At 57.6% G+C, this 14,822-nt stretch overlaps 1 protein-coding gene and 1 long non-coding RNA gene across 7 annotated transcripts in view, besides 2 other annotated features; one reads left to right on the top strand and one right to left on the bottom strand.

The window, feature by feature from the left end:
- KCNQ1 (potassium voltage-gated channel subfamily Q member 1) overlaps positions 1-14,822 on the bottom strand; it is a 404,098-nt gene that overhangs the window by 47,393 nt on the left and 341,883 nt on the right. The gene's annotated exons all lie outside the window — the stretch shown is intronic.
- Positions 974-1,911: an enhancer, noted in NCBI's record as "H3K4me1 hESC enhancer chr11:2821032-2821969 (GRCh37/hg19 assembly coordinates)". NCBI's record gives its function as "activates a minimal SCP1, AML or CMV promoter by ChIP-STARR-seq in naive H9 embryonic stem cells {active_cell/tissue: H9 hESC(naive)}" and the evidence as "EXISTENCE:reporter gene assay evidence [ECO:0000049][PMID:30033119]".
- Positions 1,589-7,618, top strand: LOC124902614 (uncharacterized). Its single transcript, XR_007062554.1, has 3 exons — positions 1,589-2,687; positions 3,167-3,338; positions 7,538-7,618. It is a non-coding gene; the product is annotated as an uncharacterized LOC124902614 (long non-coding RNA).
- Positions 4,413-4,914: an enhancer, noted in NCBI's record as "H3K4me1 hESC enhancer chr11:2818029-2818530 (GRCh37/hg19 assembly coordinates)". NCBI's record gives its function as "activates a minimal SCP1, AML or CMV promoter by ChIP-STARR-seq in primed H9 embryonic stem cells {active_cell/tissue: H9 hESC(primed)}" and the evidence as "EXISTENCE:reporter gene assay evidence [ECO:0000049][PMID:30033119]".

The following is a 14,822-nucleotide window of genomic DNA, read 5'->3' as shown; positions in this document are numbered from 1 at the left end:
AGGACTTGTGTTATGAACTGAACTGTGCCCTCCTAAATTCACATGTTGAAGCCCTAATCCCCAATGTGACTGTGTTTGGAGACGAGGCCTTTAGGAGGTGATAAATATTAAAGGAGACTGTGAAGGCAGGGCCTTGGTCCCATAGGACTCACGTCTTTGCAAGAGAAGGCGGCAGCACCAGGGATGTGTAAGCACAGAGGAAGGGCCCAGCCTATGAGCCAGGAAGAGGGCCCTCACCAGGAGCCGACCCTTCCACAACCTTGCTCTCGGACTTCCAGCCTCCAGAACTGTGAGGAATAAATTTCTCTCACCTAAGTCCCCTGGTCTGAAGCCTTTGCTGCTGAGCCAGCTGATACGACTGGCCAGCAGGAAGCTGGAGAGCTAGAGGGGACTGCAAGGGCAGGTGAGTGCCCGCCCCTACAGGCACAGGGCAGGGTCCGGCACCCCGAGTGGGTCAGAAGCCAGTCCACCTACAGACAGCTCCACGTGACAGCCATGGAGCCCAGTATCCTGTTGGAACTGGGGAGCCTCTAGGGGGCTGGTCTGTGCAAAGAGTGGACCCACTCCAAACCTGACTGCACTCTACCCTTCCACCATCTCTAGTCTGTCTGGGCCACCAGCACCCCAGGAGCCACTGCCTGGCCCTGCCCCAGCCCTGCACCCACCTCCATTGCTTCTGTCACCAGCTCTGGCACCTCCCATTACCAGTGTCCCCACCCTGGGCACACCTGGTCTCCTGCCTCCCCATGCCTTCTGGAACATTCTCTAGAATGGGCTCTGAGACCCTGTCCTCATGAGTGCCTGCCAGCCACACCTTCTCCTCCTGCCCCAGCGCCATCCTGTTCTCTGCTCTTACCATAGCTGAATTCTCCCATAACTTGGGGAATGGTGACGGCAGATGGTCACTGAGTGGACAGCACCTGCTCTTCTCCGTGCTCAATGGGGATCTCCTGAACCCCCGCAAGCATGTCCCCATTTTAGGGTTGAAGAAACTGAGTCACAGAGAGGCTATGTGTGGTGCCCAGATTTACACAATGATAAGCTGGGCGTTGGACCTTGGCATCAAAACCCTTTCCACTTCAAGCTTGGAACCTTCACGGCCACAGCTGCTCTGGCCCCCGGTTCTGTAAACGCCACCTCAATCCTGTGCGGGACCCAGGCCCCTTCCCCCACTCCCTGGGCCCTACACAGCCTCAGAGCAGGCAAAGTGGGGAGGGCTGCAGCTGGGAGTACCCAGGTTTGGGCCGAGGTGAGGCAAGTGGGGTGGGGAAGAAAGAGGCTACAAAGCTGGCAGGGGCTGGGAGTGGTTCCAAGGACAGCCCAGGGGTCTGGGCTCAGCTGCCTGCACTGAGGCGCTGGAAACCTCCTCTATAGCCTCTGCCCAGTAGGAAGCAGGAACGGCTGTCAGCCCCCTCTTTGCAGGGTTACCCTGCTGGGGGAGGCCTCTGTCCCTCCCACACCCTCAGGCCACTGGGATGGAGCAGGAAGTGGCTTTATTCCCTTCTTGAAGGTGGCGGGAAAGGATCCCAGATCTGTGACCTCCTGGCCTTTTGGGTGGGGCTGTGGGCTCTGGAGACAGGGCAGGGTCAGAGCCCTGGGAACTGTGGACGTCTGCATCTGCTCACAGCCCCCAGGTCCCAGCAGCCTTATCGGAGCCCTTGGCTGGGAGCCTGGAGACCTGAGGGTGGCTGAGCCGGCACCATGCTTCTACCCCACCCTTAGGCAGCTACCCAGGCCTCTCCGGACCTCAGTTCTGCATCTTCAAAATGGGGTCGCCCAGGTAGACATGAGGACTGACGGGCAGGCGTGGGACACTTGGAGCTCAGGAGGGCAGGCACCGAAAACACACACCCTCTGTGCTGTGACTGGAACCCCCCATGCAGCCTGCCGACTCATTTCCACTCTGTACAACTCTACTGAGAAGCTCCTCTAAATGTTCCCGATTCCAACCCAGAAATTCTGCTCCTGGCAAATCAAACACAAGGGAAAAATGCAGAGGAGGGTATTTGCTGTAACAGGATGGAGAACGGTGACTACCTGCAGACAGCACAGATGCTGCTCCCTGGACACCGAGTGCACGAGCCCCTTGGAACTTCCCTTTGGCTGTCTTGGATACAACATATACACACCACACTCACACACACAAACACCACACACACGATACATGCAGACACAACACACACCACACTCACACGTAGAAGACACACCACATACAACAAAACACACACACTGCCCTCACATACAAACACACCACACCACACATGCCAACACACACTGTGTCCAGGCATGCAAGCATGCTACACACCACACCACACACACACACACACACACACACACTCGAACTTACAGCTACAGAAGTTAAACATCACATTCCACTTCAGTCCATTCCAAAGAGCGCTGGTTGTCACCACAACAGTGACCTCCTGGCCCACCATGGATGGACAGCCACATGGAATCTGAGCACCACCGCCCCCGTGGTCCGGCCCCTGCCTGCCTCTGAGAGTTTCTCTCCTGCGCTGCTCTCTCACTCACTTTGATGCAGACACACTGGCTCCCTTTCTGTTCCAGGCACGTGCCTGTCCCAGGTCCTTTGCTTTGCCCCTCGCCAGCTGGTGTCCTCTTCCTAGTTACCCAAGGGAGCTGCTTTGTCCTCCTTTGAAGGTGCCTGTTTAGATTTCACCTGCCAGGTAAGTGCCGCCTGACCACCTGCATTCTTGTCTAATGTCCCCTTCCTCGTGGGTACCCTTCACGCGGGTACCCTCTGCTCTCCTTCCTCTTCTTCCTCTCCTTCCCCCGTCCTGTTCCTGCTCCTCCAGCCCCTTCCCCTGTCCCAAATTAGGCAAATGTACATGCATAGATCAACCCAGCCCTGAGCCACAGAGGCGAGAGTTCAAACAACGCGACCAATTTATAAACAATTTTCTCTGCTACGATTAAGTTACATTTTCCCCAATAGCTGCTTCATTTTCTTGTCAAAAATACACAGTTTTCACATTTGTCTCGCTGCAAGGGTAATTAATTTCCAGACCATAAGTAAGAACTTAATTTGATACCTGCAAGGATTATAAACTATTTCAAGCTGTTGTTTACACGAAATCAAGAAAATTCGTTCTGTTTGCAATTATGTTAATGAGGAAATAGAGTGGGTATTTTTTTTTTTTTTCAGGGAACTCGGCATAATTTTGCCATCACCAATGAATTAGTTTAAAAACGTCTGCTGCTGCTGCCGCAAACCCCTCTACAGCTGTTTTTGAGGTGACCCCAGTAAGGAGGCCCCCCAGACGGCTGAGGATCCCAAGGAAGGCTTTTGTGGGAACGGCTCAGATGACCATGGGCAGGTGAGTTCTGAGGACTGGGCACAACCCCAGGTGGTTGGCAACTAGCTAGGTCTGCAGGTGGGGCTGAGGAGTCTTCTTCAAGCCCTCCTGATGCCAAGCCGAAAGGTGACCAGGAGGGGAAGGGTGGTTGGGAACCCAGGGCGTGGACGGTCCAGCCCCTTCCTCTTGGACAGCCATTCCTGGGCCCTGGGCTGCCATGTGGGTTTGCACCATGCAGGCTTGCTTGGGCCTGGGCCACAAGTGGGGGCACTGAGGGTGGGAAAAGGGGCTGCTCTCAGGGTTGAGGAGAGACACCCCTAACTCAAGACTCAGTATTGTCCCAAGGCCGCTGTGGATGGCTGTGCAATTGGGTCCCCTGTGAGGGTGAGAGGGCTGAACTTGGCCTGGAAAGGGGCTGCATCTGCCCACCGCGGTGCCCTGGGTTGGCCATGACCCTGAGCAGCCTGGGCTGCCTGGGCCAACCTGGAGGCTGGCACAGTACGCAGGGCAGGTGCCCAAAGGGAAGAGGTATCCCCTGTGCCTGGGGGAACCGGCTGGCTTCACAGGATGGGACACTCAAGCTGGGTGCCGAAGGCCATGTGGTCAGGGTGAGGCAGGCTCCCAGGGGAGGGAGTGCAGGCACAAGCAGGGGGCTGTAAAAAGGTCCCGCACACCTGAGAAGGGGCAGAATGGAGGAAGTACGGGGCCCGGGGGAGGAGGAGGGGCCAGACTACACTGTAAAGGGCCCTGCTGCACAGAGAAGGCAAAGAACCTTCAAGACATACAAGAAGGCGGTCAGATGCTAGTGGGGAAAGGGCCCTCGAGCTCCGGAGCAAGGGTGGTGGGTACGCAGGGGCAGGTGGCCAGGAGGTGCAGGGCTGGTACAGCCACGGGAGTCTGCGGGGTTTTGGAAGGTCTGCTAGGAAGAGGCCAGCCCAGCCCGACCTTGATGACACAGCAGCTGGAGCTGGCATCGCTGAGAGCCCAAGGAAAGGTTGTCTTCAGCCTCCTGGCCCCGTCAGGCACACCTCTGGCTGCCCAGTGGGGGACGCACAGCATGAGGACTCATTCGCGATGTGACCGCTTGGTCTGCAGGCAGGTTGGGGCCCGTTCCTGGCTGGCTGTCTCTGGGGAGCTGGGAGCTGGGGGCTGGGGCCAGCGCTGCCCGGCCTCTCCGTGGCCCAGCCCCCAGCACTGTCCTCCTCTTCACAGGGCCTCCCCCCCGCCACCCCCCCAGGTCTGCCCGGAGCGGCCGGCATCGAGGCTCTGGGCCGAGTCCTCGTAAATCCTGGGGTGCTGGAGACAGCCCAGGTGAGGCCGTGAACAATGCCCCGTTGTGGCCCCGTGGGGACGGTTTGCCGCCACTTGCCACCAGCCCATACGTTGTAAAATCTCTCCCCACGGATCTAATTTCGCCTCTCTGGCCCTTGGGGGGTTAGGCCCGGGACAGGCACAGTCTCACTCCACACAGAAACCATTTACGGTCGGGATAAAGGCGGCCTTTATTGGCACCGAATGGCGAACGTTTCCCTGCCCCATCGTTTTCTCACCGCCACATCTGTCAGGTGGCGCAGGAGGGACGGCGCAGCAGTGGGGGCTTGTGTGGGGACAAGGACAGGCCGAGAGCCGCTGCCGCCGGGAAGAATGGCTCCCAGTCTCTGTCTTCCTGGGAAACCCACGAGGTCTTCCTGGGTCTGTCCACCGCCTGCACCTCAGTGGGCCCATTATCTTCAGGCCCAGCTCTGACGCAGGGAGACACGGCCCCGAGGGGCTGAGTGGGCAGGAACCTGGACACAGGCCCCTTCGGGGCACGTTTTCCTTCCCCATGGAGAGGGTGTGTCGGGGTGTGAGAGTGAGGAAATGAGGACTACTTCTCAGGCCCCATGATAGGCCTGGGTCGGCAGTGGGAGGCCTCGCCTGGTCTCGGGGTATAAAGGCTGAAGGTGGAAGGGTGCTGGGAAGATCCGGGAGAGGAAAGCGATGGGTGCTTCCTGCCACCCTGCCATCAATGCCCAGGGTCCTCCATGCTCCTCAGTTTGGGAGGAGCCGTGAGAACTGACGTGGCCGCCTTGGCCTTAGCCAGGCGGTGATCTCAAACAGAGCTTCATCAGCACTGTGGCTGCCATGGGGCAGCGTCACCTGGCAGGGGGCCAGGGGCCGTGCTGGCTTCTGGTGGGACATGGAATGATTTCAGGTGGTGTCCGAATAGTCCCTGTGTATTTTGGTATTTACATTTATGTTTTCATGCATGCCGGGAGGAAGTGCATTGCGCCATAAGCCAATGGTTTCACACGTGTCGGTTCTAGGCTGCTGCAGTAGAAGTACTTAACGGGCACCAAGCACGGTGGGTTCAAGAAAACGTCATCTAAGAAATGTCGGTGGCTCTCAGATGTGGAAAAACACAAAGGGTGTCCCTGTGTGAGTGGGGCAGGGGGCCAAAGGCCGGTCTCACCTGGGGAGGGGCCTCCATCTCCAAGCCCTGTGCAAGGGGTTGGCCACACTTACCCCCTGTTCCCCCGGCCCCCGCCCCATGGGACCCCTGCTTGTGGAGGCACTCAGGGGATGAGAGCTGGAGAGACTCCAGGGCAAGGAACCCGTGGGGTTCCTCATGGACCCGGGGAAAGGCAGGGTCCCGCCAAGTTTGTGGAGCAGAAAAATATTGTTTCTTGCAAAATGGCAGGGAAGAGTTGGCGGGATCTGTAGCTGGGGGCTGGGTGTCACCATGGCAACGGAAAGCCAGAAGCTGGCAGAATTAGGGGCGGGCTTCTGATTTCTAGGGATGCTGGCCAAACCCCAGGTGAGCCCCAGTGGGTGTGGGGTAGGGTGGTTTAGATCAGGGGCCTGCTCAAGCCAGGCTGGGTTGGGGGAAGCTCCGTGGGGCCCACTCTGGGCCCAAGCATGACTGTGTCTTTAGCAATTGCTCTGTGACTGGGTGTCAGTTTGGAGGAGGAGGAGCCCCTCGGCTCACAGCTCAGGCTCTTTTTGCTCCAGAACTTCACCTTTAGGGAAAGAGAGAAACGAAGTGGGATACACAAGACAGGTCACCTGAGACCCTGGGGCCCTGTCCGTGGCCTCCCCAGACATGGGTGCAGTGCCCCAACTGCAGGTCTGGCAGCAGCAGGGACTGCTCTGAGCTCCAGCCCGAGGCGAAGGCCTCCAGTTCATAGCCACCACTCCTACCTCATCCCTACAGCACCCGAGAGGTCGGGGGTAGGGGAGGCGAGATGCGGAGACTGACGCAGCGGAAGGTCAAGTGATGCCCTGGCTTCTTGGCTGCTGTGGGGTGGAGCTGAGTGGGACGTGGGAGGAGGTGGCGAGTTAGATGGGAAGACCCCTTGGACCCCCGCCAACCACAGGCAGAGGACCCTCTGAGTCATCAAACTCAGGTCTTGACTGTGCTGCCTGCTTGCCTTCCTCCCCGCACAGCTTCTGGGGGTGTGATGAGCTATACCCACTCTAGGCTGGGCCTGGTCTCTGTACATTGGTCCCCACTGGTGGCATCTTGCTTTCAAGAGACAAGGTAATCTGTGGACCTCCCGTCTTTCCCTCCGCTAGGGAGAGCAAACTTGGGAAGAACAGGTATGTGGTTCTGGGTGGTGGCTTCAGAGCTGAAGCTGAAAGTGGGAGATGGGGGCCAGAGGGGTCCTCCAGGCTCAGGCTCTCTTGCTGGGTCCAGTCCAGCCCAGCAGAACTTGTGCCTCCTCCAGGACACCCTCACCTGGGAAGGCGGTGTACTCCCTGACGCCCCTCCATGCGGCATCTGCTCCCCGCTAATCTGTGAACACACATGCATCACATCTTTGTGTCTTTAAGGTCCAGCATCTTTGGGGGCCCGGCTGGGCTCAGGGCTGAGTCACATGAGCCTGCTTCTCCCCTGTGCCGCCCCTGACCACGGCCTCCCCAAGGCTTCCCTCACTGCCTTCCCATCTCTCTCACTCCCCCATCTTCTTCCTCTTTTCTTTTCCACTTGATCTCTAAGCACTGGGGTTTTGGTTGCCTGCCAAGTCCAAATACAGCTCCAGACCCTCCTGACCCTCCTACCTCAGCACCCCTCCGAGCAAAGCATCCCCACGTGGGGGCTCACAGCAGAAGCTCGGGGTCCTTCTCCAACCTTTCTCCCCTCAGTCTGCTTGTTCTCATCGGTGGGGCTGGCAGACTGGGGGCTGGCCCCAAGGCCTCCACCCTAGTCCAAAGTGCTGATGCTCTCCCTCATCCCACAGCAGCCCCTCACCACTCCTGGAACTGCATCCTCACCTGCCTGTAACCCTCCTCCCACGAAGCCGGAGCCACCCCTGGATCCTTGGCCCGGCCGGGCCATCCCTCGCTCACCAGCTCTGCCTCACCTGCTCTCATGGCCTCAGGAGGATGTGCCCTCGTGCCCTAGGGCCTTTGCAAGGCTGCACACACTGGACACTCTTCCACCCTGTGTCACCCTCCTCCTCCTCACTCACTCCTGGTTGGCTCTGGGCTCCTGACTCCACTGACTGGGAAAACCGAGTACTTTCTCCTTCACACAGACAGATATGTAATTACGGGTCACTATGTGCGTCCCCCTGCCCAGCCATGGGGCTGTACATTCTAAGGAGCAGGGGCCAGCCCACCCTACTCACACTGCAGCCCCAGGCAGTGGCACAAGGTGAATGAATAAATGCCCACAGTGCTTCAGAAGGATTCCTTTGCTTTTTTCCTTTCTGCTCCTTGTGACTTCTGGTCCCTCCATCCCTCCAGAAGGGCCTCAGTTAAAAAAAAAATACTTCTTACTTTTATTTTTAGAGATAGGATCTCACTGTGTTGCCCAGGCTAGAGTGCAGTGGTGTGATCATGGCTCACTGCAGCCTTGAACTCCTGGGCTCAAGCGATTCTTCTAACTCAGCCTGCTGAGCAGCCGGGACCACAGGCACACACCATCACGCTTGGCTAATTTTTTATTTTTATTTTCATAGAGACAGGGTCTCGCTATGTTGCCCAGGGTGGTCGTGAACTCCTGGCCTCAAGCCATCCCCCCGTCTTGGCCTCCTAAAGAGCTGGGATTACAGGTGTGAGCCACTGTGCCCAGCCTCAGTTTTGAGGATATTCCTGGGTTCTGGAGAAAGCTCGGAGCCCTCACATGACCCTGCTAGTGCAATTTCCACCCGTTATTGGATATGGTCCCTCTCAGTAAGAGGGGCTATCACAGAGCCTTAGAACAAGAGCCCTTGTGTTTGTCGGGTGCACCCAGGCGGGCCCTGCCTGATGCCCATGAGGCTGAACCCATTTGTAGCCCAGCGAGGATGGGTGGCCAGGTAGCATGAGTCACCCAGGCATCAGCATCTCCTCAGCAGCTCCTGCCCTGACGGGGTGTTCACCCTGCTGGACAAGCATCCCTTTGCGGGCAGCAGACAGGCAGCCACCTTGCCGCCCACACAGATGGCTCTTGTGTGCCTGACCTGCGGCTCCCGGGGGGCGGGGAAGAGAGGGGGTGCTGTGCACTTTGACACCTATGTGGGGGACTGGGGGCAGGGAGGGGGCGAGGGGCAGGGGGCTGCGTGCTGGCCCCGCTGTCAGGCTCACCTTACTCGGCTAATCCTGAACGTGCAAGAACAATGCTGCCAAAGCCATGAGCTGGATCTCAGCCCTCCGGGGCCCCAAGCCCCCATCTCCTCTAATTGAGGCCTCACAGGGTGGTCTGCGCCCCCAGGCTCCCCCTTGTCCGTGGCTCTGGCCAGTGCCTCCTGCTGTTGCCAAGGTGGTCCAGGCACTGCCTCAGCCCGCACCCCACAACCGCTGTGCCCTCCGCCCAGAACGCTCTTCCTCTAGATATCCATAGGATGCGCTCCCTCACCCGCACAGACCTTTTCCTGGCAGCCCGCACACCCTGCAACCTCTTCTTGAAAGGCCTGGGTCTGACCTGAGGGAGAGAGTTTCTCTTGGGCAGAGGGAGGGGTCACGGCCCCGTCCCTCCTATCCACCTGGCGCTTTCCACCTTCCTGAGAGCAGAGGCCACTGTAAAAGGGACCGTGTGCTGGGGGTTTTCTGGGTGCTGGACTTGTGGGCACACACCCCATCCACTCCTGCCTGGTCCACACACTGGCTGCTGTTTCACAGACAAAGATCTGGCGGCCAGAGGGGCTCCAGGTTTGAGAAGGGCCCTCAAAGGAGCAGCCCCTTCCTATTGCTGCAGCGTCTTCCACACGTGGAGAGGGGTTCAGGCCCACGCTGCTCTGGGCCTGCAGGGCCACCCCCTGGAGGCCGCGGGAGTGCGGGAGGGGACGCCGGGCCTGCAGGGGTGGCGGAGGGACCCGGGAAGGCATGAATGGAAGCGCCGGACCAGGGCGGGAAGCAGCGGACGCGGAACGGGGTGGGGAGGGCTCAGGTTGCCAACCCAAACAGCCCAGCGCGCCTCGGCCCCGTGTTTAATCCACAAAAATTTCCATCTGCCTCTGGAGCACTCGGAACCCGGGCAACGAAAGGCTGTTCGCGCGGCAAAGTAAACACCGGCTCCGTGCAGGGACGGCCGTGCGCCGCGTCAGCCATTTTGTGGACGCCACCGTCCAAAGTGAGGCGGAAGCCCCCACCTGCGGGCTCGGAGCCAGGGCAGGAAGCCGGTCCCACCGCCCGGAGCGGCGCGGCGAGGACCTGGGCATCCACCTGCCGCCAGCGCCACCTCTGACCTGGGGCCAGAACCCGAGCCCGGGAGGCCCGGGCCCCCCACCCCCACCCGCAGCTGCCGCCAAGCCCCCGCACAACCTCGGGGTCCACACCTGACGGGGAGGGCCCGGGACGTGCTGGGCCTGTGCCGCCGGTTCGCCCCGTCCTTCCTTCCCCGCCCGCGGTTTCCCAGCCCAGCCGGCACGGCCAGGTCCCCTCCCCGGGAGGGAGGGGAGGCTCGGGTCGGGACATCTATTTTTGATGGTGACCAAGCCACTGCTTAATATGCAGAACCGGCTGGGGGCAGGCTGTGCCCTGACCCACGGGGTGACAAGTTTGAAAAGGGGCCCATTTTGACCAAAATACATGTTTTTCTGAGGTTGGCCAGGGCAGCCAGGCAGGGTTTGCCGCACAGACAAGGCTCCGCACCGCCCTCACGCCCTGGCCCCTGCAGGCGGCCAGCCCAGCCGGACTCCCGCAATTGATGCTGTCGATTATAGATCCGCACACGGTGCCCAGTGAGGGCTCGGCCGCTGCGGGCTCCGGCCACCGTCCTGCTCGGGCACCTGACACGCCCCTGCCGCCTGCTGTCCTATCCCAGCCTCTCTCTGAAGCAGTTGCACTCACAGAAGTTGACACACACTTGAGCTGAATTTTTAAAAAGACTTAAATTTCCTCTCTGGCCAATATTGGAGGCCTATAAATAGAGTCATTCAGGAGAGGCTTGAGGGTGGCAACTGTCCCCCACAGGCAGGCTAAGAGAGAAACACCCCAAGAAAGAGAGACGCTAGTGTGGGGAAAAGAACAGTTCTTGGGGGATTGCTGAGGGTAAGAGAAGCAGGAAGCCGCTGGATAGCTGGGGAAAGCAAGACCTGGATTCAGGAGGCCTGGCCAGGGCCACGTAGTAGGGTTGAGGCGGAACTTGAACTTGCAGAGAGACCCCTGATGCCATCCTCATGCTCACACCCTCTGAGCTCTGCCATCAGCCAAGCAGGCCTCCTGGGCCAGGAGCTTGTGACACTGCCCACGCCACAGGGCCTTTGCACGCGAGCGATCGGCATAATGGTGCCTGTCCCCTCCACTGGGGGCCAGGAGGCTGAGGCGCTGAGAGCCCACGTGACTCGCCGAGTCTCACAGCCATCGCGTGTAGGGGGCAGAGCTTGCACCCCAGCCACTGGCTCCAAAGGCGTGAGAGGAGGTCAGGCTTTTGCCCTGTGTGGGATGGGAAGGGGGGATGGGAAAGGGGTCTGTGTGTGGCCCTGTGTGCACAGCTGGATGCTGGGTGTGGATGGGCCACACCTGGATGAGGACCCTGAGTGATGAGCCCCTCCTATGGGGTTCAGGGTCCCATGGGTAACCAAGAGTGACAAAGTGAGACTGCACCTGCAGGATGGGGCTTGGCCCGGCTGTCTCAGTAGGTGCTGGGCCAGGCTAGGGCACTGCTGCCAGGGCTGTCCAGAGCAGTAGAACCAGAGGCAATGCCAGCTCCTGGTGTCACCGAGTGGGGACAGTGTAGACAACCCCAGCAGAGGAGGACGGGAGCCACATCAGACAGGCTTCTCCTCTGAGCTGGGCACTCTCCACGGTCCCATCACCCAGTGGCAGTTAGTGGGGGCTGTCTCTGTGGCAGGTTGAGGGTCATTTGGGCTCATGGTATGGCAGAGGGTCATTGGGATATGATCTGGGGGTCATGACCTGGTGGTCAAAGGGATATGATCCCCTCCAAGTCCCAGGGCAGGGCTGGAATCTGCAGCTGACAAGTGCCCTTTGCCAGCCTCTGGCAACCTCATGGCAACCTATCCGAGGATGGGTGGCACAGAGAGGAGCCTCTGAGTGGGGAGGACCTCACAGGATGTTAGGATTGGGGGTGGTCCTCCCAGGGGAGACCAGAGGACCAAGGTGGGACCTTGTTTCTGAGGTTCCCTTTCCCATCACACTCACCTCCACGTGACATCACTTTACTGGGGGGAAAAAGAAACACCTCGAAATGAGCACACCAACTACCTGGCGCATCTCAATCTTGGACAAAGCGAGAACTCATGGTGGATCTCAGAGCCAAGCCCACGGTGGTCCCAGTGCCCAGGAGCTGGGCCTGGGAAGGGGGAGGCCGACGGCCCCAGCATCCCGGAGCGCAGCTGTCCCCTGGCCTCCCTTCCCAGCTGCGTCCTGGGTGCTGTGGCTGCACAGAGATGCGATCACGTTCCTTGGCAACTTTGGTTTCTTACTGAGCAACACATCAATAATATCCCTCCCGAGCAATGACTGCCGGCAAAAGCTCGTCTGTGGCGGGCACTGGGGCTGCGGCGTCGAGGTGTCTCAGTATATACCACGCTTCTCTATGGACAAACAGATGGCTTTGAGCTTGTCACATGACAAAGCTTGCATGCAAAGCCCGACCCTGGTGCTTTTCTTTCCTAGGAGTGATGACGGGTTTCTAGTTTTCACAGGCAGTGCTAGAGTCCCTTCCAGGAGTTGTTACTTTCATTAATTCCCACCTCCTAGTAAGACAGAAGAGCGTCTGCTCTTCCGCACCCATGCCAGCACAGGGTATCATCATTTCCTTACATTTTGACTTTAGGGGTGTGCATTCCCCTGGCCACTGGTGGGTCCACTGTCTTTCCAAAGAAGGTGCTGGGCAGAGCTGGGCTGCGGTTCAGAGGTGCCTGCTGAGCCTGGTTCCAGGGGTGGCCTTTGGGGGTAGCCTGAAGTTGGGGGAGGGTACGGGGCCTCGGTCCCTGGCCAGGCAAGCCATGATGGCTGTGAGAATGCCAGGTCTGAAGACCTCCCACCTCAGGCTCCCTGGGAGCAGACTCAACCTGGCCCCAGGGGCCTCCTGCAAGCCTCCCCGGAGCTTGCTGGGCACAGGGACTCCCTGGCAGACACACCCACCCCTGTGCAGGAACAGGGTGGCGGTGCTCAGCGTCAAACGCTGCTTTCATTATAGGTTTATCTTTGGAACCCCAGACAAAACAGGGCTTGTGTGGTTTGACTGAAGGGCAGCCCCTCCGGACTCCGCCATCCACTAAGACGGCTCCTCAGGAAAGAAAAAATACACTAACCTTAAAATAACCAGTTCCCAGAATAGCAAACTAATGACGGCTTCTAAAGGGAGCCCTTTGATCAGTCAGAGCCCCCGCCTTTGCCTATTTACGGCCCTGTCACTCAAGAGCAGCCCAGCAGCAGAGAGAGGAGTGTTGGGTTGGGTGTGGGGGGCGGGGGGTGGTGCAGAGGGGAGGGGGAGCTGCCGAGGAGAGGCAGGTCTGGGGCTGCCAGGGCAGTCCAGGCTGCCTAACTTTCTGATGCAACCAGCCCTTCAGTGGCAAGGTGCTCCCTGGCCTCTGGGACAGCCTGGAAGTGTGTCCTGCCTGCACCGACACACACTTCTCACAGTCTGCTGAGCAGCACCTTCCAGTTGCGAAGCTACGCCAGGGAACAGACCTGGCTGCAGAGAACCGGAAAAGAACCAGAATCCCAAGCGGACATTCCTTAGGGACCTCGGGGAGGCGTGGGTCATGAGCTCTGGGGACTCGAGGCAGGGGAACTTGGGGAGGATGCTGTGGAGAAGGAGCCCAGGAGGGGTCTGCAGGGATGCATCTCTGTTGGGGGCATGGGGTGGAGAGGGGCGCTGGGGCCATGAGATGGCAACTACTGGAGTGTGCTCTCCCGTATGGTCCCTGCCATCCACATTCACCACATTCTATGGGCACTCACTGAGCATTTCCTTGGGGCTGGCCTGGGTAAACGTTGGGGGAGCCACACTCACCTCCCCACACGCGCGCACGGCCATGCCCGTCCAAAGCAGCGCTGTCCCATAGCTGAATCTGTGTGGCACAGCACTTAAAAAAGTGGTGACTGAGATCCAGGAATGGAATTTTCATTTTAATAAATTAAAATTAAAATTTAAAGATAGATCCTTCATTCGGTTATTAGAAAACCCTTCAGTATGTTTGAAATGACTTAGGCATGGGAATCTCCTTTTTCAATGGTAAATTTTATGAAATCTAAATACAGACCAAGTCGTTCTCATGAAAACTCGGTGTCTAAATTGAAATGTGTAAAATATGCAGTGGCTTTTGAAGACCCAGTATGAAAAAGAAGAATGTCAACAATTTTAAGAGTTTTAAAAATATTAATTATATATTGAAATGATATTTTGGATCTATTGGGTTAAATAAAATATATTATTGTAATCAATTTTACTTATTTCTTTTAAATTAAAAAAGTGGCTATTAGAAAATTTAAAATGATATCTGTGGCTAGCATGGATGAGCTGACCAGGAAGTAAGGGAGGTTAGAGGCTGAAAACTCAGTGAAAGTGGAACCCCAGAGGTAATAGGGGCCCTGAAGGTATTTGATGAGTGAGATGAACTTGAGCTTTGGTTTCACCAGGAATAGATGATTATGTGTCAAAGCCCAGGCCTGCCCCAGGAAGTCTCATAGCAGAGACTTACACAAAGCTGGGACCCTCAAAGGGCTCTGCTTTCATTGTGAGGGCCAATGAAAAATCTCCTACTCCCTGAGAAGATTGTAAAGAAAACTGCATTACTGCTAAGAGAAGGAGAACAAGTTCTGTCCTGGAAAGTCATGTTCACAAGTTAGTCCATGCTCAGCTTGGAGGCTTGAATTCATACTACCTAAGTGGCCTAGAAAACTTTGAGCCTAGAATTAAAAGTCCAGGCTGGCAGTACACCCACATATGTGGCAATGGAAGGGGTAAACATGATTCCTCCCTGAGGACCCCAACTTCACACCAGACTTCAAAAATTCCCACAGATAAATTTTAAGATATATAAGTTTACAATGAAAAAAAAAAAAAAAACAGAAACGAAATGAAACACCATGAATGAGAGTCAGCAGAAGAAAAAATCAAACAGGGAG

Source organism: Homo sapiens, chromosome 11 (genome assembly GCF_000001405.40).
Source record: "Homo sapiens chromosome 11, GRCh38.p14 Primary Assembly".
Taxonomy (NCBI): Eukaryota; Metazoa; Chordata; class Mammalia; order Primates; family Hominidae; genus Homo; species Homo sapiens.
The sequence above is the reverse complement of the archived record's forward strand: the minus strand, read 5'-3'. Positions and strand labels throughout refer to the sequence as shown.